The sequence below is a fragment of the Homo sapiens genome, chromosome 17 (genome assembly GCF_000001405.40).
Source record: "Homo sapiens chromosome 17, GRCh38.p14 Primary Assembly".
Taxonomy (NCBI): Eukaryota; Metazoa; Chordata; class Mammalia; order Primates; family Hominidae; genus Homo; species Homo sapiens.
This window is the reverse complement of record NC_000017.11, coordinates 28472541-28500162: the sequence shown is the minus strand read 5'-3', so window position 1 is coordinate 28500162 and position 27622 is coordinate 28472541. Positions and strand designations below refer to the sequence as shown.

The following is a 27622-nucleotide window of genomic DNA, read 5'->3' as shown; positions in this document are numbered from 1 at the left end:
CAGGTCCAGGTGAACTCAGAGAGTGGTGTGGACAGCCCTGCTCCTGCCTCCACAAGCTCCCTAACAAGCTCCACCTATCCCTGGGCCCTGTGGTTGCCATAGAGGGCTGGTGCTGGCTGGCAGGAGGAGGGAGTAGGGAAACAGGGACACTCCCAGGACCTCAGGGGACAGGGTCAGGGGAACACTATGGGTCGGCTCAGAAATCTGGGCCTATCTGCTGAGCTTAAGGTGACATTGGCCCAGAGAGGTCAAGATATTTCTCAAAGTCACACAGCACTCCACACACGGCAGTCTGGAAAGAGGCTTGGAGGGGAGCGTGTCCAGCTTCCCTCTGGGAGCAAGAAGCTCCCGTATAGTTCCCACACATTCCTCCTTCATGCACTATTTGCTGTGCCAGGCCCTGTGGAGGAACTGGGGACACAGCTCGAATCAGGCAGACTGTCCTCAAGTCACTTCCAGACTTGTTGATCTTAGCAATGGGATGCTCACTACCGCAGAAGTTGTTGAGTCCCAGCACCGCACAAGTCCAGCTGGTAGGAGACACCCAAAGCTCACTGCTAACTTCCTAGAAGCCATCAATGATGGGGTGTGGGTGCCTGGGCAGCGAGGCTGCAGACTCAGTCCCAGCAGGGCCCATCTACCTGCCGCAGCCTGGAGTGTGTGTGGAGCCGAGCTGCCGGGCTGCCTGTGTAAACCTGACCTGGCTGGCGGGCCCTTCCTTCAAAGACTAGCCCAGGCCGTGCCGCTTTATTGCCCAGTTAATGATGGTGATTAGGCCGACAGGTGCCACCTGCTGCCTGTCCACCCTCCTGCCTGCTAAAGAGGGTGTTTTCTGAGCACCTAGGGGAGGCTTGGCCCCAGAGCTCTGCCAGGGCATCCACCGCAGCCAAACTGTCGACCCTCAGGCTGGCTGGCGTCCACCTCCTTCCTGGAGAATGCAGGGCCAACCGGGTGCTCACTTTCTGGGACTGCTGTGTGATCTCAGTCCACACCTGACCCTCTCTGAGCCGGACTGAGGGGGAAGTGTGCCGAGAACAGTGGGCAGGGCATGTGCACCCTGAGAAGCACACTCTCCTTTTCCCCAGCCAGGGTCCAGAAGGAAGTGGCAGCAGAGGGTCCTCCTTGCAGATGGAGCTGGGCTGCTCCTTAGGGAGCCACTGCATTGTGGGTAGGCCACTGGGGGAGCCCCAACATTCTGGGGCCAGCCGTTTCCAATGCAGGGGACTGTTGCCTGGGGCTTTGGTGGGTGGGAGGGGGTCCTCCTGTGGGTCTGAGTGGGAGCTGTGATTTATGGCTGTGCTTCATGAGTGAGGAATGCCAGCCTGGGGGACCAGGGTGGGGCTGGAGCCACCCGCCTGACACTCCTGGCTCTCTGGGATGCCTGGCGTGTCCTGTCAGGACCCCCTGTCCCCTGGGGACAGCCACGTACTCCCCCACGCAGTGCCCCCTCCTAACTGCACTTCCAACCCCCAGCTCTGGGAGGACCCAGTGAAAGCCCGGCCCAGGGGGATCCAGAAGGAAATCCTTTCTGGTTTTCTCTCTTCACAGCCCAGCCCCCTTTTTCATTTGGGCATGAAGGTGATGAGAAATATCTCTTTTCTGTCCCACTGGAGGAGGAGGGGATGGGGTGAGACTCTAGGAAGCTTCCTTCTGGATGAACTCAAGGCTGACACGCCACTGTCCACAGTGGGCGAGACTTAGCATCAACACAAAGATGAACTTCCAGCAGGGAAGGGCTGTTTGGCTCGCAGATGGAACGATGGATACGGTGTCATTCTTCCCCATCCCCACCCCCACCTTGCTAGATAAATGAAAACTCTGGAGTCCATGAGGATGTGGGGTGGGGGAGTGTGGGGAGGCCGGGTGGAGGTGGGGTGGGGGAGGCGGAATCATCCAAAGTTTTCTGGTCCTGGACTCTGAAGGCCATGCCAGTTTCCAGCCTGTTGCTGTGCTGCAGGATGAGGGTCGGTCCTCTGGGCACCCAGCACAGGTCAGCCTGCCTTCTCTGGCCTGGTGGGACCGGTTTTTCCAGCTGGAGGAAGGGTCGATGAGGAATTGGCAGGGGCAGAGGGTTTTATGTAAATACCCAGGGAGTGCTCTGGGAACGGGGAAGCTGGTTTTCCCAAAGACACGCAGGGACTGGCAGCTCCCAATTAGCCAGGCCCAGTGATGTCAGTGCTGCTCTCCTAGGTGGCTGCGCCCACTCTGATGGGCCTTGGCAGGGATGCCCGGCCATTACCTTCCCCCCTGGGTGGGAGGGGTGCCAAGGGGGCTGCATATAGGACAAAGGCCAGGCCCCCTCCTTCTGGACTCCCCCAACCTGGGGTCTGAACCACATTGGGGACTAGCCCTGGAGAGTGCCATGAAAAACCATCCCAGACTTTACTGAAAAAGACTTTAATGTGACTTTAACAGCCCAGAGGCTGTTCCCGTGGCAGCTGCTGGCAGGCCCTCCTCCCAGGCCACTCCAAGCCTGAATTTCAATAAATACAGTGCAAGTAAGTCTGGTCACTAAGCTGGGGATACCAAGACCTGGGGCACCAGAGAGGGCATGTTGTATTGTCTGTGAACACACACGTGTGCACTGTCCAACATACATACCTAGGATCATGTGCATGCACACAGCCCCCCTCAGATAGCCTCACGTCACACACCCCTCACATCCATGCAGGCGCACACATATGCGCACACACACATGCACACACCTTTTATTCCAGCACATAGGAAACTGAGCATACACCCCTTCCTTACAGACACGCAAGAGATTATGTACACACGTGCCTTTCAGCCTTTGGCCTGGAGCTTGGAGCTTGGAGCTTGGGGTGTCCCCTCCGGGCTCAGAGGAGTGGGAATGGGGTGGGTCTTCCTGGGCATGGCCAGGCTGTGCCCCAGCCTAGGGGCTTGGTGTGGTGGTGTTGGCCAGGCTTGGCAGGCACTGGGCTGTGGTGTTGGACTGTGCCCAGGAGGGGAAAGAGTGCAGGCTGAAGAGGGGGATGCCCCAGCTGTTGATGGCCAGTGCGATGATCAGGACTCCAATGATGTTGAGGAGGAATCCTGCCCGGGCCTGGTGTGAGGAGAGTCCATTTGGCTAAGCAGGGACTGGGCTGGACTGCCCCCAAGTCCCCAGGTGTTTGGGGGTGCACAGGAGCCCTCCTACCAGCAAAATTCTCTCTGGGAAGTCCTCCCGTTGGTCTAACCTGCAGCATAGCCAATGCCTTTGCCCCTTGCTTTACTCCCTGTGCTAACAGGGGAAAGGGGCGCTCCTCCTGAGCTTCCAGGGCCCTGGGCTTGTTCTCTCTGAGCTCATCTCCCTGAGTGTGGGTGCCTGGCACCTTGGAGCCTTCCCCATGTTCCCCACCCACTTCCCTCCCTCTCACATAGCCTGGGGCTGGCAGGGCCTGAAGATGCCACCACTGAGAGGTCATGTCCCAACCTCCCCAACTGCACCTTCATTCCAGATGAGGACCCGCTCAACTCTGAGACTCTCAGTGGCTTTAAGCTGCTTTGTGGTTCACTAAGATGAAAAGTCAGAGCAGGAAGGAGGGATGAGGCATTCAGGCCTCCCTGCCACTTACCATATCCAACACTTTGAGGTCCCCGAAAGAGAAGACGATGGCATTGGGCGGGGTGGCCACAGGCAACATGAAGGCCAGGGAGGTGGCCAGAGTGCAGGGGAGCATGACGTAGAGAGGGTGGAGGCAGATGGCCTGGGCCTGGAGTGGGAGGCAGTGGCGCAGAGCTGAACTTGGTCCCCAAGCCAGAGGGAGGGGCATGGCCCCCAATTCTCCTGCTTCTCTGGGGAACAACCCCTGTACCCTAATACACTCTCTGGTCATGAGCCCACCTCTTCTCCCAGAAGGCACTGGGTGACCTGGAAGGGCCTCTTGACCTCTCTGGAGGGAATGAGTGTGCTGCCCTGCCTTGTGGGGTGTGGTGAGGGGAGGGGCCCATAAAACTGATCTCAAAGGGGCTCCGGGGGTGTCATCAAAGGCTGCAGGAACACGCCTGGGGAGGAAGGGGCTTGGGACGCTTCGGGGAGCAATTTCACCCCGTCACCTCAGGAATGACCAGAACAGGGACTGGGGTGGGGAGGTGGGTGAGGCCACCAGGATCCCCATCAGGATACTCCAGGGGTGACATCATGAGGGACGGGGTGAGTCAGGGGCCAAAGCGCCTTGGGGCCCAAGGTGGCTCAAGAGCCTGGAGAAGGATGGAAACTCAGGGGTCCTCTTCAGGAAAAGGAAAAGAGGAGGTGCAAAGACAGGATACTCTGCCCAGCAGGCAGAACCCCTGGTGGGGCAGGCAGGCGGGCTGCCTGGAGGAGGTGTTTCTGAGGGCCAGCTCACCATGGAGGCTAGGATGGGCAGGAAGATCGTAGTGGTGGCCACGTTGCTAGTGCACTCGGTGAAGGTGGCCACCAGGAGGGAGAGGATGATGGCAATGGCTGGAGCTGGCACACTCTGCAGTGGGGTCAGCTTGTTTCCCAGCCACTCTGACAGGCCCGATCGCTGTGGGCAGAGGAGGATGGCATGTGAGAGGCAAGGCTGCCTGGGCCCCCAAGTCTTCTGCCGAGGCTCTATGAGGCTCCTGCTCCTGCTAACATCTCCCTGGTATTCAGAGTCAAAGACAGCTCTAAAGGGATGATAGGACCCAGCTAAGACCAAGGGGTGCCCTTTCCTGCTCTTGAAGAACAGCTGGGTGTGGGAAGAAGGGGCAGATGAGAAATTAGGAGGGGGCCAAAGGGCCTTCTTGGGAAATTTGGGGCTTGGTGGGAGCAAAAATCTTTGACCGCACTGACTCCTGCCTTCCTGACCTCTCTCAGGAGGTCCCTGGACAACCTTAGCCCTCTTCCTGCCCCTTCCAGTCCAGTGGCTTGGGGCAGAGGGAACCTTGCTCCTGGCAGGGAGGGAAAGTTGGGGGAGGACCCTGACAGAGGCTGCAAGAGGCTAATGGGAGGACAGGGACAGTCCACAGGGTCAGAAGAGCTCCGAGGTCTTGCCTTCCCACGTCTGGAATGCCAGGCTGTAAGGTGGGACTTAATCTCGCTCAGTGGGGCCAGCGCCTAGCACAGGACTGGGCACAGTCAGTGGATGAACATGCCACAGACCCAGGAGTCCCCTGCACCGATCCCTGACCTGGGCAGCCACCTTCTGTTTGAGCCAGAACACGGAGGCCCAGGGATGCCGTGTCAGGGATTTCCCTCTTTTGGATGGAGGCTCTGGGGAAAGATGTTCTGGTCCCCAGAGCCTGGGTGGGTGTGATCATGGTGCCCCCTGGTGGCTGCGGAGGGCAGACCGCGTCAACACAACCCCCAATTACTTTGGTGCTGATGCTACTGTGTGCTCTGGCAGCGGGCAAAGGGCTGGGGTGGGATGGCATTTGTCTCTGAGAACAGGCTCTGCCCACCAGAGAATCCTGCCTTCCCTTGGACTTTGAGAACTGAACAAAGAGGTCCCTAGGGCTTGTGTTTCTTCCTCCCACATGAGGGCTCTAACCTAAGTCTTCCCAGCTGCTGCAAAGGCTCTGCCTACCCGAGAGGCTCCTACGTGGGGACCAGGTCTCCCCTCTGTGGGACAGAAGCAGGGCCCCCTCTCTCCCTGCCACAGAGACACCCTCACACAGGCTGAGGAGGGGGCTGGGGGCCTCTCACCTCACTGCCCTTGGCCAGGGCATAGCCACCACCCAGCAATAACACGATATTCCACGGCATCTTCTGGTTCACCGTCTTCCAGTCGAGGAGGCCAAGAGGGGCCTTCAGCTTCCCTGGGTTTTCTACTTCCCAAGCAGAGAAGGATGGGTCACCAAAGAACAAACAGGCCTTTCCCCTCTCCATTTGCGGGCTCCCTGTGTGGGTCCCTTTTGGAGCTTAACGCGTGCAGGAGGGGACCCTCAGTTCTGCAACATCTCAACTTTGTCTCCGAGTCCCTGTGCCCTTGGCAAGTCGCTCCAGCCTTTCTGGGCTTTGCCTACTCCTGCCAAGTGTGGTGGAAGGTACATTACATACTTGAAGGCAGGGGCTGCCCGGAGACCCTTCCCTGCCCCAGTCCAGGTGCTTACCTGGGTCCTGGGTCAGCCCTGGGAACTTGGAGGGTATGATGAACATAATTATGCCGATGAAGATGGCCACTGTCCCATCGGACACCATGCTGTTGGTGGAGGGGGCGCGGGGAGGGCTGGGTTAGCCGCTTGGGGTTGCTCAGGGCCACAGGGTGGAGGGTGGTGGAGATGAGCCTCTCCCATAGACAAGCCTGGGGAACCTTCATCCCCCACCAAGTGTTACCTCCTGTTCTGCAATGGGGGCCCTATACCCTTCCCTCCTTCCCGAGCATGTGAGCCCCAGATGTGTCCTCCTCCCAACCCCTGCAACTCTCACCTCTCCCCCTTGGCATTGGGAAAAGCCAAATTGCCCCAGCCAAGAAAAAAGCCCGGCTCCCGGGTGAACCAGAGCAGCACCAGGATGACGAATAGGATGCTGATGGCCTTTTCTGCAAAGGTCATGGGGCCCAGCAGCCTGTGCTCGGTCTGGATGACGCAGTAGGCTGCCTGCTGTTGCTCCTGCATCTTTTCCCCAATGCCAAAGTTCTTCCGGAAGCTGCAGGCAGAGGGACGGGGCAGCTCGTGGGGGGCCTGCTCCAGCAGGGAGCAAGGGGCTCTGAGTGCCTACCATCTAAAGGCTGAGGCCCACAGAGGGCATCTCAGGGTCACTACACTCAGGCCCCAGCTCCGCCTGAGGTTCTGGAGGAGGAGCAGAAGACTTTTAGAGGCCATAGTTCTTGCTTATTCTCCATGCTTGGCCCTGCCCCATTGAGCCCCTTTTCCTCCAGGGGTTCTATGGTGCTGAACCCTCCCTTGCCCAGGGTGAGGAGGACCTAGCAGCTCAGACCCTGGGACTTCTTCCTGCCCTGGCTCACAGCTCTTCTCCTCCAACAGCCTTCGGGAAGTCCTCCCTTCCCTCCTCTGCCTTCTCTGCTTATCCCCTGCCAGCCTGAGCCCCACCTGCATTGTCCTCAGAGGCACAGTAGGCTGCAGCCCACTTCCTTCTGCTGCTGACTTAACTTGTGTTGACATTTAACTTTCCACTTGGGTAAATCTCAACCTCCCTGCTGGACTGTGAGTTCCTCAAGGGCAAAGACCACACTTCACACATCTTTGACTCCCCTGTGGTGCCTGGCACTGTGCTGACCTCTTCTACTACCACCTTGCCTTGTACCAGCTCCCAACCTTAATCCAGCTTCCTTACATTTGCCCAAGTGATTTTTCCAAAGTGCAGCAGCAATGCTTAAAAACTTTCAAGGGCTCTCCACTGCCTGGGCAGGAAGGGCAAATTATAATTAATACCACAGTAACACTCATACCACCACTCTTATCCCGTATTCATGGCAGACATCACTAATCAATCACAGACTTGATACTAACTGAGCCTTAGCAGGGTCTCCTATGATTTTCCAACTCAGAGCTCCAAACAGTGACTACCAGGAACCTGGTGGAAGTAGGAATGAAATCTATTTATTACTCTTGGCTTCATTAGGTGGCACACAAGAGCTTCCAGAACCTTCCCCTGCCTACTTCTCCAGCTTCATGACCTGATGCTCCTTTTTGCTGTTTGTGTTTTAGTCCTGCAGAACTAGAGTTCCCTCGAACACGTCTTGTCTTGCCTCTGTGCTTTGTGCAATCTGCTCCTGCTGCCTGGAATTTCTTCACCCATTCTCTACCTGGCTGACTTCTAGTCCTGCAAGATTCAGCCCAGGCATGATCTCCTCCATGGTGTTCTGGAATCTTCACTCACCTGGGCTGAACTAGACACTGTGTTCTCTGTGCTCTTGCAGCATCTGGGCTTCCCTCTGTCGTGACCCCACCATATCATCATCCACCTGATGGGCTACAAGGACAGGGACTGTGCCCAGTGCCTTCTAGTATTCTCAGTGCCTTACACACAACCCAGTATACAGTAGGAACACAGCAGGTGCTTCTGTAACTAACCATGCTCAGTGTGTGCCCCTTAAGCACCTATCAAAGGACGGTGGACCATTATGGGAAGGGGCATCAAGTGACCTGGTTTGCAGCCCCAGCACTGACAAATCTAGTTGCGAACCACTCCTGAAGCCTCAATTTGCGCATCTGTGAAATGGGATAATACTCTCTACCCAGTAATTTCCTCAAATGGGGGTCCAAGTGCACAGAGGGGCTTTGGGAGGGAGAAGCCTTCTCATTGGGATGGTGATAATATCATTTTCCACATCTGCACCCAACTGGAAGCTCCCAGGGCTAAGGGCAGGGACCTGGGCTTCTCTCACCAACTTTGCCACTTACTTGAAGCCCAGGAAGAGGATCTGCAGCCACAACCAGGCCAGCAGCAGCAAGATGACCATGGTGGGGAAGGCGAAGCTGAACCAGGAGGCGAAGTTCACCACGTTGCCGTTTTGGGGGAAGAGCCTGAAGGAGGAACATGGGCTGCCGTGTGACATTGCCCCGAGAACTGCCCAGCCCCATTCACCTCCCAGTGAATGTGCAGATCCCCCAAGGTGGCCCACCCCTTGTCACTCACGAGTTGATCTGGCCTTGCAGCACCAGGTTGGGTGCGGTGCCAGTCAGCGTGGCGATGCCCCCGATGCTGGCGGAGTAGCACACGCACAGGCTCATGCACTGGGTGAGGTGGAGATGCTTCTGGCTGAGATGTGCCCTCCCCTCCGAAGAGGCAGACGTGACAGGGAGGGCCTGCCCATTATCTGGGAACAAGGGAGAGCCCAGGTGGGGGCAGGTACAGGGCCAGCTCTGGGGAACGGGGCCAGGGCTGCAAGGCCCTCCAGGGTACCTTGTCTGTGAACAGCCCAGACCGGGGCTGGAAGGAGGACAGAGGATGTCTCCAGGCCTGAGGGGCCCAGCATTCCCCAGAGTCTCAGGCTGGGAGCACCCTTGGACACTCTATGATCTGACCTCTCTCTTGAGAGAGGGAAACGAGGATTACCCAAACCACTCAGGAAGAATGGAGCCTAGACCTTGGACTGTTCACCTAGACTCCAGCTCTCTTCTTGCTATGGTGACCAAGCATCTTGGTTTGCCCAGGGATGAGGGGATTCCCAAAACAGGGTACTTGACATTTTTTAAAAAAGGAAAAACAAATTGGTCACTGTCCTTCTTGCATCTCTTTCTTCTCTCCCCAAAGGCTCCAAGATGACCAGCCCTCGAAACGGACAGACCCTCAGACTCTCTCCAAGAACCAAGGGGTTGGGGCAGAGTCTAGCCTCATTTTTCTCACCAAGCTTGGTCACCTCCTTCTGGGGACTTGGTTCCTGGAGCTCGAAGGTGGGGTTGTTGCTGCCCTCCTCGACGTTGCTGCTGGCTTGCGAGCTGTGCAGCTGGTCCAGGACGGCATGTGCGATGGGCACCATCATGGCTGAGGTGGCCGTGTTGCTGATCCACATGGACAGGAAGGCCGTGACCAGCATGAAGCCCAGGATTAGCCTAGGGATGGGCAGACAGACACACTGCTGTTCCAGCTTCCCTTCAGGGACTGGGTGCCCAGAATATCTCCTCGTCAGGTTCTCCCGTGCTGGTTTGCAGGAGGAACTCACGGGGCAGGCCGCACCCCAACGATGAGGAGGACACGGAGGGCGATGCGTTTATGCAGGTTCCAGTGTTCCACCGCGATGGCCACCAGCAGCCCCCCGAAGAACAGGAGGTTGGAGTCCTTAAGATACTCGACGGCAACCTGGCAGGTGGAGACATGGCTGAGCGGCGGGAAGACCCTGGAGTCTCCCACGGTGCCCCCGAGGTTATGGGATGCAGTCACTGACATTCCCACAGACTGGCATTCCCCTGGGCTCTCGAAACTGGATGGAAATGGTCTCTGAATGATCTGCCATTTAAAAAAAATAAATTTAACTTTTTGGAGACAGGGTCTGGCTCTGTTGCCCAGGCTGGAATGCAGTGGCACAATCACAGCTCACTGCAACCTCCACCTCCTTGGCTCAAACCATCCTCCCACCTCAGCCTCCCAAGTAGCTGGGACTACAGGCACGCACCACCATGCCTGGCTAATTTTTGTATTTTTTGTAGAGATGAGGTTTCACCTCGCTGGCCAGGCTGGTCTCGAACTCCTGAGCTCAAGTGATCCACCCGCCTTGGCCCCCTAAAGTGCTAGGATTACAGGCATGAGCCACCACACCCGGCCTGGATTATCTATCATTTAATATCAACCAGGTTCCCCTCTTCTTGTCAAACTCACTTTATCTCCCCTCAGGAATAATTAGTTGGGAGATAATCTACCGTGATTCCATTCATGTTTCAAGCCATGGACTGGGAGATAGATACTTTAGTGCGGTTTCTAAAAACTAGACAGTGGTTCTCAAAGTATGATCCCTGGGCCAGCATCATCACCACCAACTGGAACTTGTTAGAAATAAAATGCTTAGGCCCTACCCCAGATCTACCGAATCAGAAACTCTGGACCCAGCCATTTGTGTTTTAACCAGCCCTCCAGGTGACTCCGATGCTGTTCAAGTTCAAGAGCCACTGAACTAGAAGTATATGAGTGTGTTAGCTGGCCCTCAAGGCCCCTTTTCTGTGTCACTAGGCCTTCCACCTCCCACCTACGGCTGGCTAATCACTCTCACCTTGAATGAACTCGCAGCACTAATTCTGCACCCCTCCCCACCCCAGCCCGCAGCCTTCTAGCTGACTTCTTCCTCATGCAGAGTCAGGAACCCCTAATCCATGTGCCCTGCCTATGGTGAGGCTTCCTTTGTCAACAAGGGCTGAGGGAACCCACCCCCTGGCCTCCCGCACTGCCCAGAACGCTTTCTCCTATGGATGGGGCTCACCTCAGAGGCATCCACGATGCCCATCATAGGGAACAGGATTAAGGGGAAGAGGGCAGTGACGGCCAGGGGCAGGGCCTCAGTGCACCAGAAGAGCGCCATGAGGATGATGGCATACGCGCAGTAGGCCTCCTGCAGGTGGGAGAGAAGCGGCAGAGCTGTCAGAGGGCCTGTGTCCCAGAGCTATGCCACCTCCTGTCTGTCAGACAAACCAGGCCATTTGTGACTGCCTGGGGAGAGCCTGTGAAACCCACAGTCATTGATTCCCAAGCCCAAGGTCTCATTTCAAAATGCAAATAAAAAGCAAAGCAAGGCACTCAATATCACCTTGTCTTTGACCCTGGGGAGCCCAGACATTACAAGCCAGCCACTTCGGAGAGTCTGGAGTTGGTTACCAGTCCCCATCCAGCCCAGTGGGATTGCAGGGGCCCAGCTGAGGATCCCAAGATGAGATGGGGGCTGCCAGAAGAAGGAGCAGGACCTGGGCAATGTGGACCTTTGCCTGGCACCCTGGCGTTCCCTGGCTTTTATCACAAGCTGCAAGAGTATGTTTGTTTGTTGGATATTTAGTGTTTGTTCCCTTTGCTAGGAGTGAGCTCTCCATCAGACAGAGTCGGTTTTGTGGCATCCTTTCTAGCAATCCTGGTCTGGCTGCTGCATTACACAACTCCAGAGGAGCAATTTACATTTATAGGCTATGTGAAGTTTCCCCCAAGATGCTTGTGTTGTGCAGGGAATTGTGGGGCAATGCTGAGTCTTGTGAGTCTTTGAGTACCAGAAGTCCCTCTTTCCTGCATGAAGCCCCCAAGTCTAGAGAAGCCTGACCTCAGGCCTGGAAGGGGACCTGGGGCAAGAATGGAGGCCCACCCCCCTTATAGAGCCTCTCCCAGGGCTGGGGAATCATTAGCCAGGAGGCTTCCCAGGGCTGGGGAATCATTAGCCAGGAGAGGGCACCCGTATCCCCTCTCCAGGGGCCGGGCACCTGCCCACTCTTTATTTGCCAAGGGAAGGGGCCGCATGCTGGGGTTTGTTGGACAATGGGGCTGGGGACCCCCTCCTCCCTTGCCCATCCCAGTTGCCCTGTCCTTGTCCTCTCCACCTCGTACAGGCTAAGCTCACACTCTTAGTACCCTAAAGCTTGGGAAGGGTCCCTGAGGTGGGAGTAGGCGGTGGCCTGGGGGAAGAGGCAGCTGCTATTTATTCAGCAACTCTTAGGAACTTAGTATTGTCATTTTTGTGTTTACATGAAAACATAACAGCCATTAAAGTGGGTGTGGGGGTCCCACCTTATAGATGAGCTCAGAGGGTAAACAGCTTGCTCAGGGTCACAGAACTATTAAAAAAAAGTGGCAGAGCCTGGATGGAACTCAGATAAAGGATTGGGATTGGGTAACTTTCAAGCACTACCTAAGAGCACTCCCCTTGTAGTCTGTGTGAATGGTGCCCCAGTAATTGTGCAGTGTGTAGCCTGCCCAACTGCACATAGCCCCACCAAATCTGTCCGAAGCCAAGCTCTCTTTCCACCAAACCTCTACTACCTCTCTTCATCCTGGAGACAAACTCATCAGCCCCAGGATTGGGGCCACTTTGACCCTCAGACAGAGAAACCCAGCCCCCTCCTCCCCCAGCAGGATTCTGCTGATGCCAGTGTTTCCTCACCCGCAATGACTGAATGGCCAGTTACCCTCCCCTTGGACTAAGGGTGGGCCAGCCCTCCTGGACCCTGGTGTCCTCCACCCTGTCCACCCAGAACTCTCTGGCCAGAGACAAGGAGCAGGGCTGGGGTTGCGCTCACTCTGCTGATTCAGGAAGAAGTTTCTGTATAAGTATTGGAGGATGACTTTGTGCCAGGCGTCATATTCTATGTGCTTCAAATGCTTTTACAAGTTGCATTTATTTGCTCTCAGAGGTAATAACTATTGTTCACATTTCACAGCTGAAAAAAGAAAGGAGTAAATACATTTCAAAAATGCCTCAAAGTCACACATATAGTAAGTGGAGAAGCCAGGACATCTGCTTCCCGGGCCCCAGCTTTCACCTGCTACCCTGAGCATGATCACTTGCATTTGAGGGTGTCCTCAGCCTCAGGCTCCCTGTGACCAGTGGAGTGTAGGGAGAATGAGCTGGGGCTCTGAATCCAGAGCTATCTTCCCCAGGGCCTGCCACTTCCTGTGGCTGGGCTCTGTTAAGCATGTCACTTTGAGACCCTGTTTCCATACTCCAAAGGGAGTTGTTAATAATCGGACCAGGCTGGGCATGGCGGCTCACGCCTGTAATCCCAGCACTCTGGGAGGCCGTGGGGGGCTGATCACTTGAGTAAAGGAGTTTGAGACCAGCCTGGGCAACATGGCAAAACCCAGTCTCTACTAAAAATACAAGAATTAGCTGGTTGTGGTGGTGAGCACCTGTAGTCCCAGCTACTTGGGAGGCTGAGGTGGCAAAATCACCTGAGCCCAGGAGGTTGAGGCTGGAGTGAGCTGAGATCACGCCACTGCACTACTCCAGTCTGGGCAACTGGAGTGAGACCTTGTATCAAAAAAAAAAAAAAAAAAAAGTCAGACTCGCCTCCATGTGTTCCAGTGTGTTTGATGCATGGCTCCCTGCTCCCTGCTGCCTATGTCTGTGATGGGTTCCTCTCTATCTCCCTAGGGCTCTGCCCTCAGGGAGTGCCCGAGAGTACCTGACCCAGGGGGCCTCTCAGAACACTGACAGCTCCTCAGTCTCAAACCCTTTAAACATCTTGCATTTGAGGGTGTCCTCAGTCTCAGATCAAAACACAAGACCTGTTCCGAAGTTCCATCCAGAAGCCTTCATTAACCCCGGGTGGCTTTGGCCCTGCCTCCCCATCCCACCTCCTAGGCAGCCTGTCAAGCTGGAGCACAATTCGCTGATTTGTTCTTCCTGCATCATGAGATTCTTAACTGGGGCATGGAGTTCTGAGAATCCATGAAGATAAATGGGAAAACTATTTTATCTATTCAAGAACATCGAACTAAGGTTATGAACATAAAATCATAGTGCTATTAATGGCATTATTGGTGACTTGGTCACAGATATTTGACTGTGGCTATCAGCTATTAGACACCGATCCAGATAAGTTGTTGCAGTTGTTTCAGAATAGCTCTCGACATTCTGTTTACCTCCATCATTATTTTGAAATTTTGGTAGTTATTATACCAACTTTAGATCTTACCTAATGTACTAGCAAGGAAGTACATCTATTTCTGAGCTGCAATTTATTTTTCCATATTTTGATACCTGTATTTCAAAATAATTGGTTTATTTGTAATCCCATGCATTTTATTTTGTATATTTTATTTCTTATTTTTTCTAATTAAAAAAAATTTTTTTTAAAGACAGGGTTTTGCTTTGTTGCCCAGACTGGAGTTCATGATGTGATCAAGGCTGACTGCAGCCTCCAGTGCTGGGCACAGGCAATTCTCTTGCCTCAGACTCCCAAATAGCTGGGACTACAGGCATGTGTCACAACGCCCAGCTAATTTTTTTTTTTTTTGTATCTTTTGTAGAGATGGTTCTTGCTTTGTTGCCCAGGCTGGTCTCGAATTGCTGGTTTCAAGTGATCCTCCCACCTCAGCCTCCTAAAATGCTGGGATTACAGGTGTGAGCCACTGTGCCTGGCCTGTGCATTTCAAAGTAATTTTCTGAAAAGGGCAGAACCAAGACTCAGAGAGGTCTAGCTTTGCCTTGTTGACAGTTGTTGATGCTTAGAGGGTTTGGGTTTGAGACTGAGGAGCTGTCAGTGTTCTGAGAGGCCCCCTGGGTCAGGTACTCTCGGGCACTCCCTGAGGGCAGAGCCCTAGGGGTCTTTTCTTCTTAGGCACACAGTATATCCAATTACAAGGTCAGTATTCCCAGCTCTAGAAGTGGGGATTTGGGGATCAGCCTTATCCTTCCAGGTCACTCTAGTGCTCTCTGCCTTGCAACCCAGCTCTATGGAACCTAGGCCAGCCAAGTTCAACTGACAGCCTATGGCATTGGACTCAGCTGGTTTACACGCTGGCCACTGGCTGCTCCCCAGGACTGCTGCACTGCACAAGTCCAGGTCGCCATTCTCATATGGAGTTGTGCAAGGCATGGCCTGCACCACAGTCCCTGGTGGCCCCTCCTGGAGCTCAGAAACCAGCAGGGAAGAGTTTTCTCCTGGTGGCGAATGCTCTTCTTTCTACCTCTGGCCCTGCCTCCTCCTTCCCCAGGCCAGCAGGGTGGTTGTTCCCCAGCTCTGTTCCTTGACTGTAGCAGCTACTCTCCTCTCAAGATCTGTTTATGGGCTCCTGAGGACGGGGGCGTAGCCTCTTTCTCCTCTATGATCTAGCCTGTCTCTCTTTTTCAGGTGCTGGCCTGGTCTGTAAAGCCTCCTTTCCCACTGGTGTCACCCCCACCCCCAAGGAAGTCACCCTGTTCAGATCCTCACTCTTCTCCACCCAGCAGTCAATCCTTGTGACTGGAAGCCCACTTCAGGCAGACCCTGGGTCTCCTGCCTGTTCATCAGCCACTCATTCCACAAATACCCTCTCTGGGCCATGCACCCAGTCCTGCTGGTTCTGCCCCTTGAGTGCTCCCATTTATTTCTCTGTAGCTCTGGACCACTAGCCTGGTCCAAGTCTCAGCAAGACCTCTGCAAAAGCCTCCTTATTCATCTCCCAGCTTCCTCTCTTGACCCTGAAATCCTTTCTCCTTGCTGCAGCCAGAGTGATCTCAAGGCACAAATCTGTTTAATTTGCACCTCCCCTCCCCCAGCACACACACACACTCATCTCAAAACAGCTCACATCTCTTCAGTGGCTTCCTAGTGCTTTCAGGAACCTAAGTTTAGAGTTGGTCTGTGCCTCATGTCTTAACACTCTCCCCCTTACTCTCTCTGCTCTGGCCATACCAGCCCTCTGTGGGTTCCTCAAATACTGCATCCTCCCTCTGGCCACAGGGCCTCTGCACACGATTTCCTCTCTCTGGACCTCTCTTCCCTCCCTACTTTGCGTAGTTGATATCTACTGGTTCTTGAGATCTCAGCTCAAATATTGATTTTTCAGGCTGGCTTCCAGGAGGGGATATAGTTCCCATTTTTCACACTCTAAGTCCCTGTACCTCTTCTGCATAGCACTCATCATAGTCTGCAATTAAACATTTAGTTTTAGGGACTAAAAGATGAGTATCAATCTTTGTTGTCAGACTCTACCCTCCAGGGAGCAGGGTGCAAGTCTGTTTCTGCTCACCCCAGCGAGGTGCCTGGCATCTATTTAGCAGAGTTGACACTGAATGAGTGGGTGAATGAACGTGGGCCCTAGGGGTACAGGCATCAGTCAGGCCCAGCGCTGGCCCTCGGGGAGTCTGAGTGCCTGTGTGGGCTGGCCTGAAGGGCAGACTGAAGACAGAAACCCCCAGAGGGGCTTCCAAACCCTAAGCCAGGCAGCTTGCTTCTTCTGTAGTGGGAAAGCACATGTCCAGGGCACATGCTGAGTGCTGAGTCCCCGCTTTACTGCTGTGTGTCCTTGGGCAAGTTACTTAACCTCTCTCAGCTTTTCTGGTAAGAAACATCAAGCATTCGCTGCTGTAAACACATTTATCTCCATTATGCAGTTTCCTCATCTGGAAATGGGGATAACAGAAACATCCACCTAACTGGGCTACTGTAAGGACGAAGAGAGCTAACAAATGTAGGAATAAGGTTTTTTTAAAAAAAATTTTTTTTAAGAGACAGGGTCTCACTCTGTTGCCCAGACTGGAGTGCAGTGATGTGATCACAGCTCACTGCAGCCTCGATCTCCTGGCCTCAAGTAATCCTCCTGCCTCAGCCTCCTGAGTATCTGGGACTATAGGCATGTGCCACCACACCCAGCTAATTAAAACAATTTTTTTTTTTTTGTAGAGATGAGGGTCTCGCTATATTGTCCAGGCTGGCCTTGAACTCCTGGGCTCAAGCAATCCTCTCTCCTCAGCCTTCCAGAACACTGGGATTATAGGTGTGAGCCACCGTGCCCAGCCAGGAATAAGTTTTAAAGCATTGTAGCCTGTGAGCCCATAGCAGGGTTGGTGCTGGGAGAGAAATGTGCTCCTGGGCTTCTGGAGAACCAGAGAGGTTACATGAGGCACAAATGGAAGTGAAGGTGCCAAGGAGTCCAGGGCAGACTCCGGACCCGGGGTGTGTGGCAGGTGTGGGACCTGTGGGCATCATGGCCTCTGTCACTGGCACAGTACAGCCTGTGACTGTCAGGCAGCAGCACATGTGCCCACAGTCTCAGAGGTGTCACACCTTATTCCTCCTGGTGACTGAAGGTTAACCCAAGGGTGGGGACAGGCTGGCACATGGGGGACACTCCCACTGCCCCTCTGCCCCTAGCAAGTGGACATGCTGCCGGCAGGAGCACTCCCGGGTCTCAGGAGCAAGGCGAGGCACTGGGTGGCAGCCTGCCAAGCACCTGTAAAGCAGAGTCCAGAAGAATGGCGCTCAGAGGAGAAGGGGCCCCGTCCCTGAGCCTCCTTTTGTTTGGGTTGAGGAAGGCTTCCAGAGAGGGAACCTTGAGCGGGTACTGAGGGGTGAGTAGGAGTTCAGTTAGTGGGCAAAGGGGGTTGGGGTGAGGGAGTAAATGTAGAACAGAATGAGACATAAAAGATCAAGATGCATTCTTGGAAAGAGCCTTGTCTGCCCTGAGAGGATCTAGGAATTTGTCTGGAAGACGGGAGAAAAAGAGAGAAGGCCTCAAAGAGTTTTAAGCAGAGAGAGAGTGGCATGGTCAGACTTGTGGTTTAATAAAATATTACACAGATACTACCACACGCGGTTTAAAAAATTTGTGTGCAAGTGTTTGTATGCATTCAGGGAAATTTCTGATGTAGGGGTTTGTACACTTTTTTTGGTACCAGGATCCCCTTGGCAGCCTGATGAAGCATTCCAGTGTCTTAGAATAATGTTTTTAAATGCACCAATAAAATACATAAGACTACAAAGGAAACCAATTTTATTGAAATACAGGTAATAGGCTGGGTGCGGTGGCTCACACCTGTAATCCCAGCACTTTGGGAGGCTGAGGCAGGAGGATTTCTTGAGCCCAGGAGTTCAAACCAGCCTGGGCAACATGGCGAAACACTGTCTCTACTAAAAGTACTAAAACAAACAAACAAACAAACAAACAAACAAAAAAACTTAGCTGGGCATGGTGGCATGTGCCTGTAATCCCAGCTACTTGGGAGGCTGAAGTGGGGGAATCACCGGAACCACCCGGGAGGCAGAGGTTGCAGTGAGCTGAGATTGCACCATTGCACTCCAGCCTGGGTGACAGAGTGAGACCCTGTCTCAAAACAAACAAACAAACAAACAAACAAACCCTTAACTTTTAAAACCTAAACAAATAAATAAACACAGCTATTAAAATATGAAAAGGTGCTGGGTCCAGTGGTGTGTGGCTACATGGAAGGCTGAGGCAGGAGGATTGCTCGAGCCCAGGAATTTGAGGCCAGCCTGGCAACACAGTGAGACTCCATCTCACAAACAAACAAAAACATGAAAGAGTGTGGAGGGATGGAAGTCTCTTCCAGGAAGAATAGGCAGATGCCAAATGCCTAATTCTTTGAGGACTGAATATACAAAGGGGACAATGGCCAGTTCATATGTAAAAATATGTTTCACAACTTCTGTAATAACCAGCCGAGAAGTCAAACGACAACCTCTACAGCAGTAAGCCCTAAACACTCAGGATTTGCTCGATGATTGCCAATTCCCCTGATTTTTGCCCCAAACTCTTTACTCCTACTTCCAACTCAGGACCAAGCCCAGAAAGCGAAATGTGCTCCCCTAACCAGTCACCTGGGGTGCTGCTTCTAGTTAGCCGCCTATGGCTTCCCTGTGCCCAACAGCATGCACTGGAAGCCTTCCCTTTTGACCATTCTAAAGCTTTCCCACCCCATGCCTGCCTCAAGTTGCACGTGATGGCGGTGACTCTTCCTACCCTTTGCTTGTTCTCATTCAAGTGTCCTTCATTGATTTGCACACCTTGATGTGAATGACTTTGTTGCATCAGCTTCTGTTTTAAGAGGCCAAAGGGAACAATGAATTTTTGAGTGCTGGAGAAAACAAAAGTGGGGAGAAGAGTCCTGATATCACAGCCTGGGCCAGGGCCAGCCCTGCCTGTATGCACTAAAGAGCAAAATGCAAGCTCCTCTACGAATTTGATCCTTGTGACAGCCCTGAGCCTCGCTGCTGGATTACATCCAGGAAACTTTACTGTCGAAGAGGGTGACTTACTTTCCCATTCCTGGCCTTCACCTAGCAGGTGCCGATAAACAGGGACACGATTTAGTAATCTGGGCAAAATCCAAGTTGGGGACTCTACGCCAGGGATCCCCCTGGCCTTTGAGGCTGGGTCCTTCTTCTTATCCTATTTCCAGGCATCCCAGAGGCTAGAAAAACTACCTCCACACAGCTGCAGGTATTCCTAGGGACACAGCTCACCAATCTGGTGGGTGACCAGACATTCCTTCCTGTTCTATAGGTGGGAACATCTGAGGCCCTCCTAAGCACAAGAGCCCATTTGAACAGAGCAATGGAGAAGAAGTGAGGTATCCACACAGGGCTCCAGACCAGTCTGTGTTTTCCAGGGGCCCAGGAATTCAGATAAGAGGCAGAGGGCGAAGGGAGCAAGTGTTTATCAAGCCCCAGGTGCCAGGTACTCTACGTATATGTGTGCTATCTCAGCTCATCTTCACAACACCCCTTAGAGATGGCAGGGTTTGAAGAGGCTCGGTCAGGTCACACGGCAGTACACGCTGCTGAATGGATTTGAACCCACACCTGTTTGGCTCCAAAATCCATGTTTTGTTCACTGGACTCTGCTATCTCAGCTGAGGGCCAAGAAATCTCAAAAGGTAGAGGTGGGGCCCAGAACAGAGGTCCAAATTCCTTGTATAGTTTTCATGCCCGAAGTGAATCATCCAAGTCCCTGCCTTTGAGGTTCAGGAACAGCTTGCACTAAGAGTATTTTAACTACACAGATTTTTTTTTTGACAAGGCCTTGTTCTGTCACCCATGCTGGAGTGCAGTGGCATGATCACTGCTCACTTCAGCCTTGACCTCCCTGGCTCAAGTGATTCTCCCACCTTGGTTCTCCTAAGTAACAGGGACCACAGGCACGCGCCACCATGCCCAGCTAATTTTTTTGACCCCCCCTTTTTTTTTTTTTTGAGACAGAGTCTCACTCTGCTGCCCAGGCTGGAGTGCAGTGGCGTGATCTTGGCTCATTGCAGTCTCTGCCTCCTGGGTTCAAGAGAATCTCCTGCCTCAGCCTCCCGAGTAGCTGGGATTACAGGCATGTGCCACCACGCCCAGCTAATTTTGTATTTTTAGTAGAGATGGGGTTTCGCCATCTTGGCCAGGCTGGTCTCGAACTCCTGACTCCAGGTGATCCACCTGCCTCGGCCTCCCAAAGTGCTGGGATTGCAGGCATGAGCCATTGCGCCCAGCCAACTTTTTTGATCTTTAGTGGAGACAAGTCTCTCTACGTTGCCCAAGTTTGTCTTGAACTCCTGAACTCGAGCCACCCTCCTGCACTGGCCTCCCAAAGTGCAAGAGTTACAGGTGTGAGCCACCACTCCCAGCCTTAATTACACAGATTTTAAAATTCAAACACATGTAATGTTTATGCATTCTAAAAGGGCCAGTGATTCAGATTAAGAAATTCTGCCTTCTGGCCTTACAATAAATGCAATATTGACTTCAGCTGAATTCTGTCCTGGCCAATGTTGAGCCACTAGGAGACTGTTTTTACAGATGCCTTTGGGTCCTGGGAGGTGTTTGTGTTGTGACTGTAACTTACTAGCTGAACAACCCCTGAGTCGTAAGTTATTCACCCCTTAATGCTCACAGCACAAAATCCCTACTCCTCCCTGTAGCCTTGTAGGGCTGACATTGGCTGACCTCAACCCTCTTCTCTAAACTTGACTTAAGCAATCTAGTGAGGCCTCTTAAGGCCTCACTCGAGCCCCCAAAGCCACACTGGCCTTGCTTAATCCCTTCAATTTGCTAAGCTCTCCCCATCTGCAGGCCTTTGCACTTACTGCTTGTTCTGCCTGGATGGCTCTTTACCCAGAGCTGTGCTTGGCTGACTATAGAGAATTTATTTTTGAGATAGGAGTCTTGCTCTGTTGCCCAGGCTGGAGTGCAGTGGCACCATATGGCTCACTGCAGCCTCAACCTCCTGGGCTCAAGTGATCCTCCTGCCTCAGCCTCCCAAGTAGGTGGGGCCACAGGCACACACCACCACACCTGGCTAATTTTTTTAGTGAGGAGACAGGGTCTTGCCATGTTGCCCAGGCTGGTCTTGAACTCCTGAACTCAAGCGATCCACCCACCTTGACCTCCCAGAGTGTTGGAACACCCTCCTCAGGAGGCCTTCCCTGACCCCATCTAGAGCAGCCCTCCCCAGGCTGTGGTCATAGCCTGCTGCATTGTTTCTGCTTTTTGTATGTCTCCCCACTCCTCCCACTTTCTCTTCCCAACACACCCAAACAGTACTTGTCACACAGTACTGAGTTCTATGTTCACTAACAAAATGCATGGTTGGATGAATACATTTGAATGGATGTAAGGTTTCCATGTCTGGCTGCAGGGTTGGGAGAGCAGGAAGACCCCAGGCCCTCCTGTTCCCCATCTGCTGGGACCACCAGAGAGTGACTAGCATTTCAAGGTTCTGTTGCCACCCCTCAAACACACCCTACTATTCCTGGCCCCTACATCTTTCCTCCTGTGGTTCCATTCACCTGTTCTGCTGATGCCTCTGACTGTTAAAACTCCACCAACCTTCAAGGCCCAACTCAAATGTTGCCTCCTTCAGATTCTCCCTTGACTCAGTTGGAAGAATTTGCTCCCTCCTCTGAGCTCTGCAGCCTTCTGGCTGAACCTTTGTGTGGTGTAAACACCTGTCTCCTCCTATAGACTATAAGCAACTTGAGAATGGAACATCTGTATTCCTTTTGGTAACCCCTGACACAGAGCAAGAGCTCAACAGATATGCTGGACTGAAGTATGGTGGGAGGACTGACTGACAGCTGGACGGACATGAGAAAGGATGGCCTGAGAGGTGGGTCACAGCGGGGGCACCACCGGCCTCCCAGGGAGCCTCAGGCAGAGACTCCAACACCAGGTTCCAGTTCAAACTTTTTTCCTAGCTGGGACTTTAAGCAAATTGCTTCCCCACACTGGCCCTCAGTTTACATGTCTGTAAAATGGAGATAGTAGTAGTAACCTCATGTAACACATAGGCTTTTTTTTTTTATTTTTTGAGACTGAGCCTTGCTCTGTCTCCTAGGCTGGAGTGCAGTGGCACAATCTCAGCTCACTGCAACCTCCGCCTCCCGGGTTCAAGCGATTCTCCTGCCCCAGCCTCCCGAGTAGCTGGGATTACAGGCATGCGCCACCACACCTGGCTAATTTTTGTATTTTTAGTAGAGATGGAGTTTCACCATGTTGGCCAGGCTGGTCTCGAACTCCTGACCTCAGGTGATCTGCCCACCTTGGGCGCCCGCCTCCCAAAGTGCTGGGATTACAGGCATGAGCCACCATGCCCAGCCCGACACATAGGCTTTTGAAAGGAATAAATGATCTAACAATGCTTTGAAGTGCATGGCATAATGTCAAGCACATAAAATATACTCAACAAATGTCAATATTATTATTATGGGCACAAATTTGAGCCTAGGCTGGGGCTCCTTCTTCCCCCTTTGGAGGCCAGGGCCATGGGGCTAAGCTTGGGGACTCATTACAGAGAGTAGAGATTCAACAGGGATGCAGGTCAGGATCCACTGTGTGCACATTCCTTCCTTTCTTCATTCAAAAAGTTGGGGGTGGCCGGGCATGGTGGCTCACGCCTGTAATCCCAGCACTTTGGGAGGCCAAGGCGGGCGGATCACGAGGTCAGGAGATCAAGACCATCCTGGCTAACACGGTGAAACCCCGTCTCTACTAAAAATACAAAAAAATTAGCCGGGCGTGGTGGCAGGTGACTGTAGTCCCAGCTACTCGGGAGGCTAAGGCAGGAGAATGGCATGAACCTGGGAGGCGGAGCTTGCAGTGAGCCAAGATTGTGCCACTGCACTCCAGCCTGGGTGACAGAGTGAGACTCAGTCTCAAAAAAAAAAAAAAAAAACAAAAAACTTGGGTGTTTTTTATTTGTTTTTTTTGAGATAGAGTCTTGCTCTGTCACCCAGACTGGAGTGCAATGGCGTGATCTCAGCTCACTGCAACCTCCTCCTCCTGGGTTCAAGCGTTTCTCCTGCTTCAGCCTCCCGAGTAGCTGGGATTACAGGTGTGCACCACCATGCTTGGCTAATTTTTGTGTTTTTTTTTATAGAGACGGGGTTTCATCATGTTGGCCAGGCTGGTCTCAAACTCCTGACCTCAAGTGATCCACCTGCCTTGGCCTCCCAAAGTGCTAGAATTATAGGCGTGAGCCACTGCGCCAGGCCTAACAAGTATTTTTTGAACATCTACTTTGTGCCAGGCACTGGGGATTCTGCATGGGACAAGACAAAGTCCCTGTCCTCACGGAGCCGACATTCTAGTGCAGGAAGCCAGAGAGGAAGTAAAAAATAAGCAAATAGATGATTTCAGAGAGTAAACACCCTATAAACAAAAGAACAGGGCTTTTCCCCAAGAATGACTGGGGTTGGTCAGAGAAGGCTTTTCTAAGGAGGTGGATTTAAGCTGAAACCTAAAAACAGGAAGGAGGTATCTGGGAGAGCAGTCCAGAGCAATGTGAGGAGCAGAAAGAAAGCTGGTGAGGGTGGGGGAGAGTGAGCGAGAGGTGGGTCACAGGGGGAGGGAGCCTGGGGAGTCCAGGGCTGAGCCTTGGTGACTTCTGGCTGCTTGAAGAGGTTTTATCCTAAGTTTGACAGGAAGCCAGTGTAGGGTTTTTTTGTTTGTTTGTTTTTTCAAATTAAGGTGGGGTCTCATTATGTTGCCCAGGCTGGTCTCAAACTCCTGGGCTCAAGCAATTCTCCCGCCTCGTCCTCACAAAGTGCTGGGATTATAGGTGTGAGCCACTGCGCCTGGCCAATGTAGGGTTTTGAGCAGAGTGGGACACATGGGAAATGACCGGGGAGACAGTGGATCCGAGGGCGGGGAGTGACTCCATTCAGAGTATTTTGGGGTATCAAATGAGCAGGACCTTCTGCTGCACGTGGAAAGGAGGGAAGGAGAAGAATCAAGAATGCCCCCGAGTTTTTGGCTGTTGCAGCAAGGTAGATGGTTGAAGCATTTCTTGATGCCTAAGCCAACTGGAGAAGGGCAGGAAGGGTTTTGGTTTGGACGTGGAAAAGTGTAACCTGCTTATCCTGCTTACAAAGAAAATATTCAATTAGGGAGATGGCTGGTGTTCATTGGATAATACCAGTTTAGAGTTTAGGGCTGGGGTTACAGATTGATAACTCATTGGCATAGAGATGCTTTTTAAAGCACGAGATGGCATAAGATCAGCTAGGGGAAGTGGGGACCCTGGAAAACCTCAGAGTCAGATGGAGAAGGAACCTCAGAGTCAGGAAAGGTGGGAAGGGGCAGGGCTGGGCAGGAACCAGGAGAAGGTGTCACCAAAGCCAAGAGAAGACAGCACGGCAAAGACGGGGTGACAGCTGTGACAAATGCTGCCGAGGGACTGAGGAATGTGAGGGTGGCCCAGGGTTTGGTCACAAGGAAGTTGATGGGATCTGAGTCTTGGAGATGGGAGCTGACAAAAGAGAAAGTGCGCTTGTGGTGTAGACAGTGTCTTGAGACTTCCTGTTATGAGAGAGAGCAGAGAAAGAGGCACTATCCTGGAAGGAGCGTGGCCTTGAAAGAGAGCTCTTGTTTGTTTAAGATGAGAGATATTACAGCACCTCCGTATGTGGATGGGGGAGATCAGGCAGAGAGGAAATATTTATCTTGTAGGAGAGTGAGAGGACAATTGCAGGAGCAAAGTCCTTGAGAGGGGCTGGCCTCTCCTAGACAGGACCAGAGTCAGGATGGGGCTGGCAGCATCTGTGAGCCAGAGGCAGGTAGCAGGGCCAGATACGGTGCACAGAAGACAGGGGCTCCTAACACATCCCAGTCTCACCAACAGGCATGGCTTCTAGCACTGACTCAGGATTTCCTGTGTGACCTGGGCAAGTTACTGAATCTTTCTGTGCTGTGCTTCCCCAGGTCGAGGGGAATTGGGAAGAAATCAAAATCCCTGTCTGGCTTCCCTCCTGGGGTTAACACACTTGCCCCAGCCTGTCGGAAAACCCATCTGATGGGTCCCTAGCACTGAGATGCCACCGGCTTTGGCCTGAGATGAAGGTCATCTCAAAGGTCAGCTGGGCCTTGTTACTGACCAGGTGTCAGGGGCCCAGGGGCTGTGCCACTATCACCCCCAGTCTCTCACCCCTTTGGGATACCATGAACAAAAAAGTCTGACTCAATTTCTCTATCTATGACAAAAGGAAGAAAATGGCTTGATGGGCAGTTCTGGGGGTGTGGGGTGGGGCAGGAGGCAGCAGGGTGGAGAGAAGACATGCTTTGGCACCAGATCACACCCCCAGCTCTGAACCTCCCAGCTGTGTGATTTGCCAGAGGCCGACTGACTGAAGATTGAACTTCAAGGCCTTCCCCCTGGACCCTTCCCAAAGCCCCAAACTAATTTCAGATTAATACTTTTGTGTCCTTTTTCTTACAGAGTGGGGCCCAAAAGTGTATAATATCCAAGTTCCATGAAACTTGGATCTGCCCTGGGACTTTGACTAAGTGACTTAACCTCACCTTCCCCATTTGTCAAATGGGACAGTCAGGCCTGACCTCTTAAGATGGTGGAAAAGGTTACTGGGTGCCTAGGGCAGGGCAGGCATTGGCGGCTTGATTTAATGAGAGATGAAGTTATGACTTCTGCTGGGGGCGGAGGAGGAGGCAGTGACGCCTGGTTGTGCCCAGCTCCCCCTCCATCCAGGGCACAGTTTTTGTGCTGTCTACCTGCAGCGGTCCCCTCTTCCAACTCCCACCCCTCCTCCTCCACAGACTTAGCCCTTGAATCCACAGGTGAACTCTTTCTCTTCCTGTTTATGCTCTTAAAGATGCAGACCGCCTGCAGCCAGCTTTCTCCTATTCTCCTTCCAACCCTCTTCACTCTGCTGCTGCTTACCCAGCCGTCCCCTCCCCACAGCCAGCCCATCTCAGCCGCCATGGAGCCCAGTCCAGGGCTAGGTGGGCACACAGTAGGTAGATCAGCTCCATCTGCCCCCCTTGCATCTTGTTGATGGAACTGGTTTCCTGTTTCCTAGGGCAGTAGGTTGCAAACCCACCTAAGTAATTCACGCTGGGCTCCTACAACTGGGTGCCAAGCAAAAGCCCCTTTGACCTCCTAGCCCTCAGTCCTCAGGAGGAGCAGGGGGCGATAGCCTCACTTCCAGGGCAGGGGCAGTGAGGAAGTTATGCTGGATCCTAAGGATGCCCAACCCCGGCCCAGACAGTCCCTCCTCTGCCCCCTGGAGTTATCTGTGCTCAGAACACCAAGTCCTTACCTTACTGGGGACGAGGATGGGCAGAGGCAGCAGGAGAATGGGCACGAAGAACACGATCAGGTAGGAGCGATAGGCCCACAGGGCCTGCCAGCAGGTGGCCATGGTGTGGAGCAGCAAGGGCTGCTACAGCCACTGCCTCCAGGAGCTGGGTAACAGAAGGACCAAAGATGCAGCCAAGCAGGCAGGTGGCAGGCTTATATAAAGCCAGTTGAGTGTTAACCATTGACCCAGTCTGGCAATCAGAGTGTTTTTGGAGTTGGGGAGGTGAGAGTAAGGAGGAGGGACCCACAGGCGGAGTAAAGATCAGGAAGGGAGAGGGAGAAGGAAGGAGGAAAGAACAAGGATTAAAAAACTTCAGGTTCCTTCAAGAAGTTAATCCCAGCGTTAACTCCTTCTGTTCTTGGAGGCTGCTGAGGGTGGTGCTGGAGGAGCTGGAGAAGGAAGGAGAGTCCCCCAGCCACCCTCCACAGGCAGCCCCCAAGCCACCTCCGCTGGCCCGGCCTTTCCTTTCTGCTGTTCTCCAAAGCTAGGTTCTCAGCTGAGCACTTTATGTGACAGCCTGGGTGGGGTGGCCCTGCCCTGCCCACAGAGATGCCCTAGGAATTTTCAGTCTAAGATTGACAGTAGCTAAGGCCTGGAGCAAGTCCTCCTCCTCCTCCTTCCAGGTATCGAGGACCATCAAAGTCCCTGGTCCTGACTACATCTTGTGTGACACTGATCCACCGACTTAACCTCTCAGAATTAGCCACTTCCTTATTCTGCAGTAATATCTTGCTATTGTGAGGCTCAAATTAGACAACTTATATATGTTGAGCTTTGATGCATGGCAGGTGTACGATGAAGGTTAGTTTCTTTCAGGCTCTTCCTAGCCCCCTCGCCCCCCAGCAAAGATTGTCTCTTATTTTGGAAACATACTAGATCTCTCATTTATCCATCATCCATCCATCCATCCATCCATCCATCCAACCATCCATCCATCCATCCCTCCACCAAGCAAGTATTTAGTACCAATTATGTATTCAGCCCTGTGCTCAGTGCTAAAGATACAGAGATTAAAATGCTGCTGCTGCTGCTGGTGGTAAAGACTGACATTTGCTCAGCACTTAGTACAAGTCAGTTACTGTACTTCATCAACTCGGTAACTACACCATGGGTTAGGTGTTACTATTCCATTTAACAGATGGGGGAACTGAGGCCAAAGGACATGGAGCCAGCCAGAATTCACACATGCATTATGGGTATCCTGAGGGAGGTCCAAACCAGGGCAGAAGCTC

The 27622-nt window shown here is 53.0% G+C and overlaps 1 protein-coding gene across 9 annotated transcripts, besides 3 other annotated features; it reads right to left on the bottom strand.

Moving 5' to 3' along the window:
* SLC13A2 (solute carrier family 13 member 2) lies at positions 2382-26519 on the bottom strand. 9 transcript variants are annotated; one of them, NM_001346684.2, is made up of 14 exons: positions 26349-26519; positions 12613-12753; positions 10821-10949; positions 9795-9856; positions 9573-9709; positions 9257-9462; positions 8546-8726; positions 8311-8433; positions 6374-6592; positions 6058-6146; positions 5651-5772; positions 4347-4508; positions 3576-3713; positions 2382-3064 (listed from the first exon to the last, which is right to left on the bottom strand). In NM_001346684.2, exons 4-14 carry the CDS (start codon positions 9810-9812, stop codon positions 2894-2896), a joined length of 1566 nt encoding a protein of 521 aa, NP_001333613.1. In that variant the 5' UTR covers positions 9813-9856; positions 10821-10949; positions 12613-12753; positions 26349-26519; the 3' UTR covers positions 2382-2893. The 9 variants fall into 9 exon arrangements, with proteins under 9 accessions (NP_001333613.1, XP_047292967.1, NP_001333612.1 ...); XM_047437011.1 differs by having other exon boundaries at positions 9573-9856; NM_001346683.2 differs by lacking the exon at positions 9795-9856.
* Positions 6945-7014: an enhancer, noted in NCBI's record as "active region_11928". NCBI's record gives its function as "activates an Ori minimal core promoter by ATAC-STARR-seq in GM12878 lymphoblastoid cells {active_cell/tissue: GM12878}" and the evidence as "EXISTENCE:reporter gene assay evidence [ECO:0000049][PMID:35858748]".
* Positions 15162-15211: an enhancer, noted in NCBI's record as "active region_11927". NCBI's record gives its function as "activates an Ori minimal core promoter by ATAC-STARR-seq in GM12878 lymphoblastoid cells {active_cell/tissue: GM12878}" and the evidence as "EXISTENCE:reporter gene assay evidence [ECO:0000049][PMID:35858748]".
* Positions 16635-17148: an enhancer, noted in NCBI's record as "H3K4me1 hESC enhancer chr17:26810033-26810546 (GRCh37/hg19 assembly coordinates)". NCBI's record gives its function as "activates a minimal SCP1, AML or CMV promoter by ChIP-STARR-seq in naive H9 embryonic stem cells {active_cell/tissue: H9 hESC(naive)}" and the evidence as "EXISTENCE:reporter gene assay evidence [ECO:0000049][PMID:30033119]".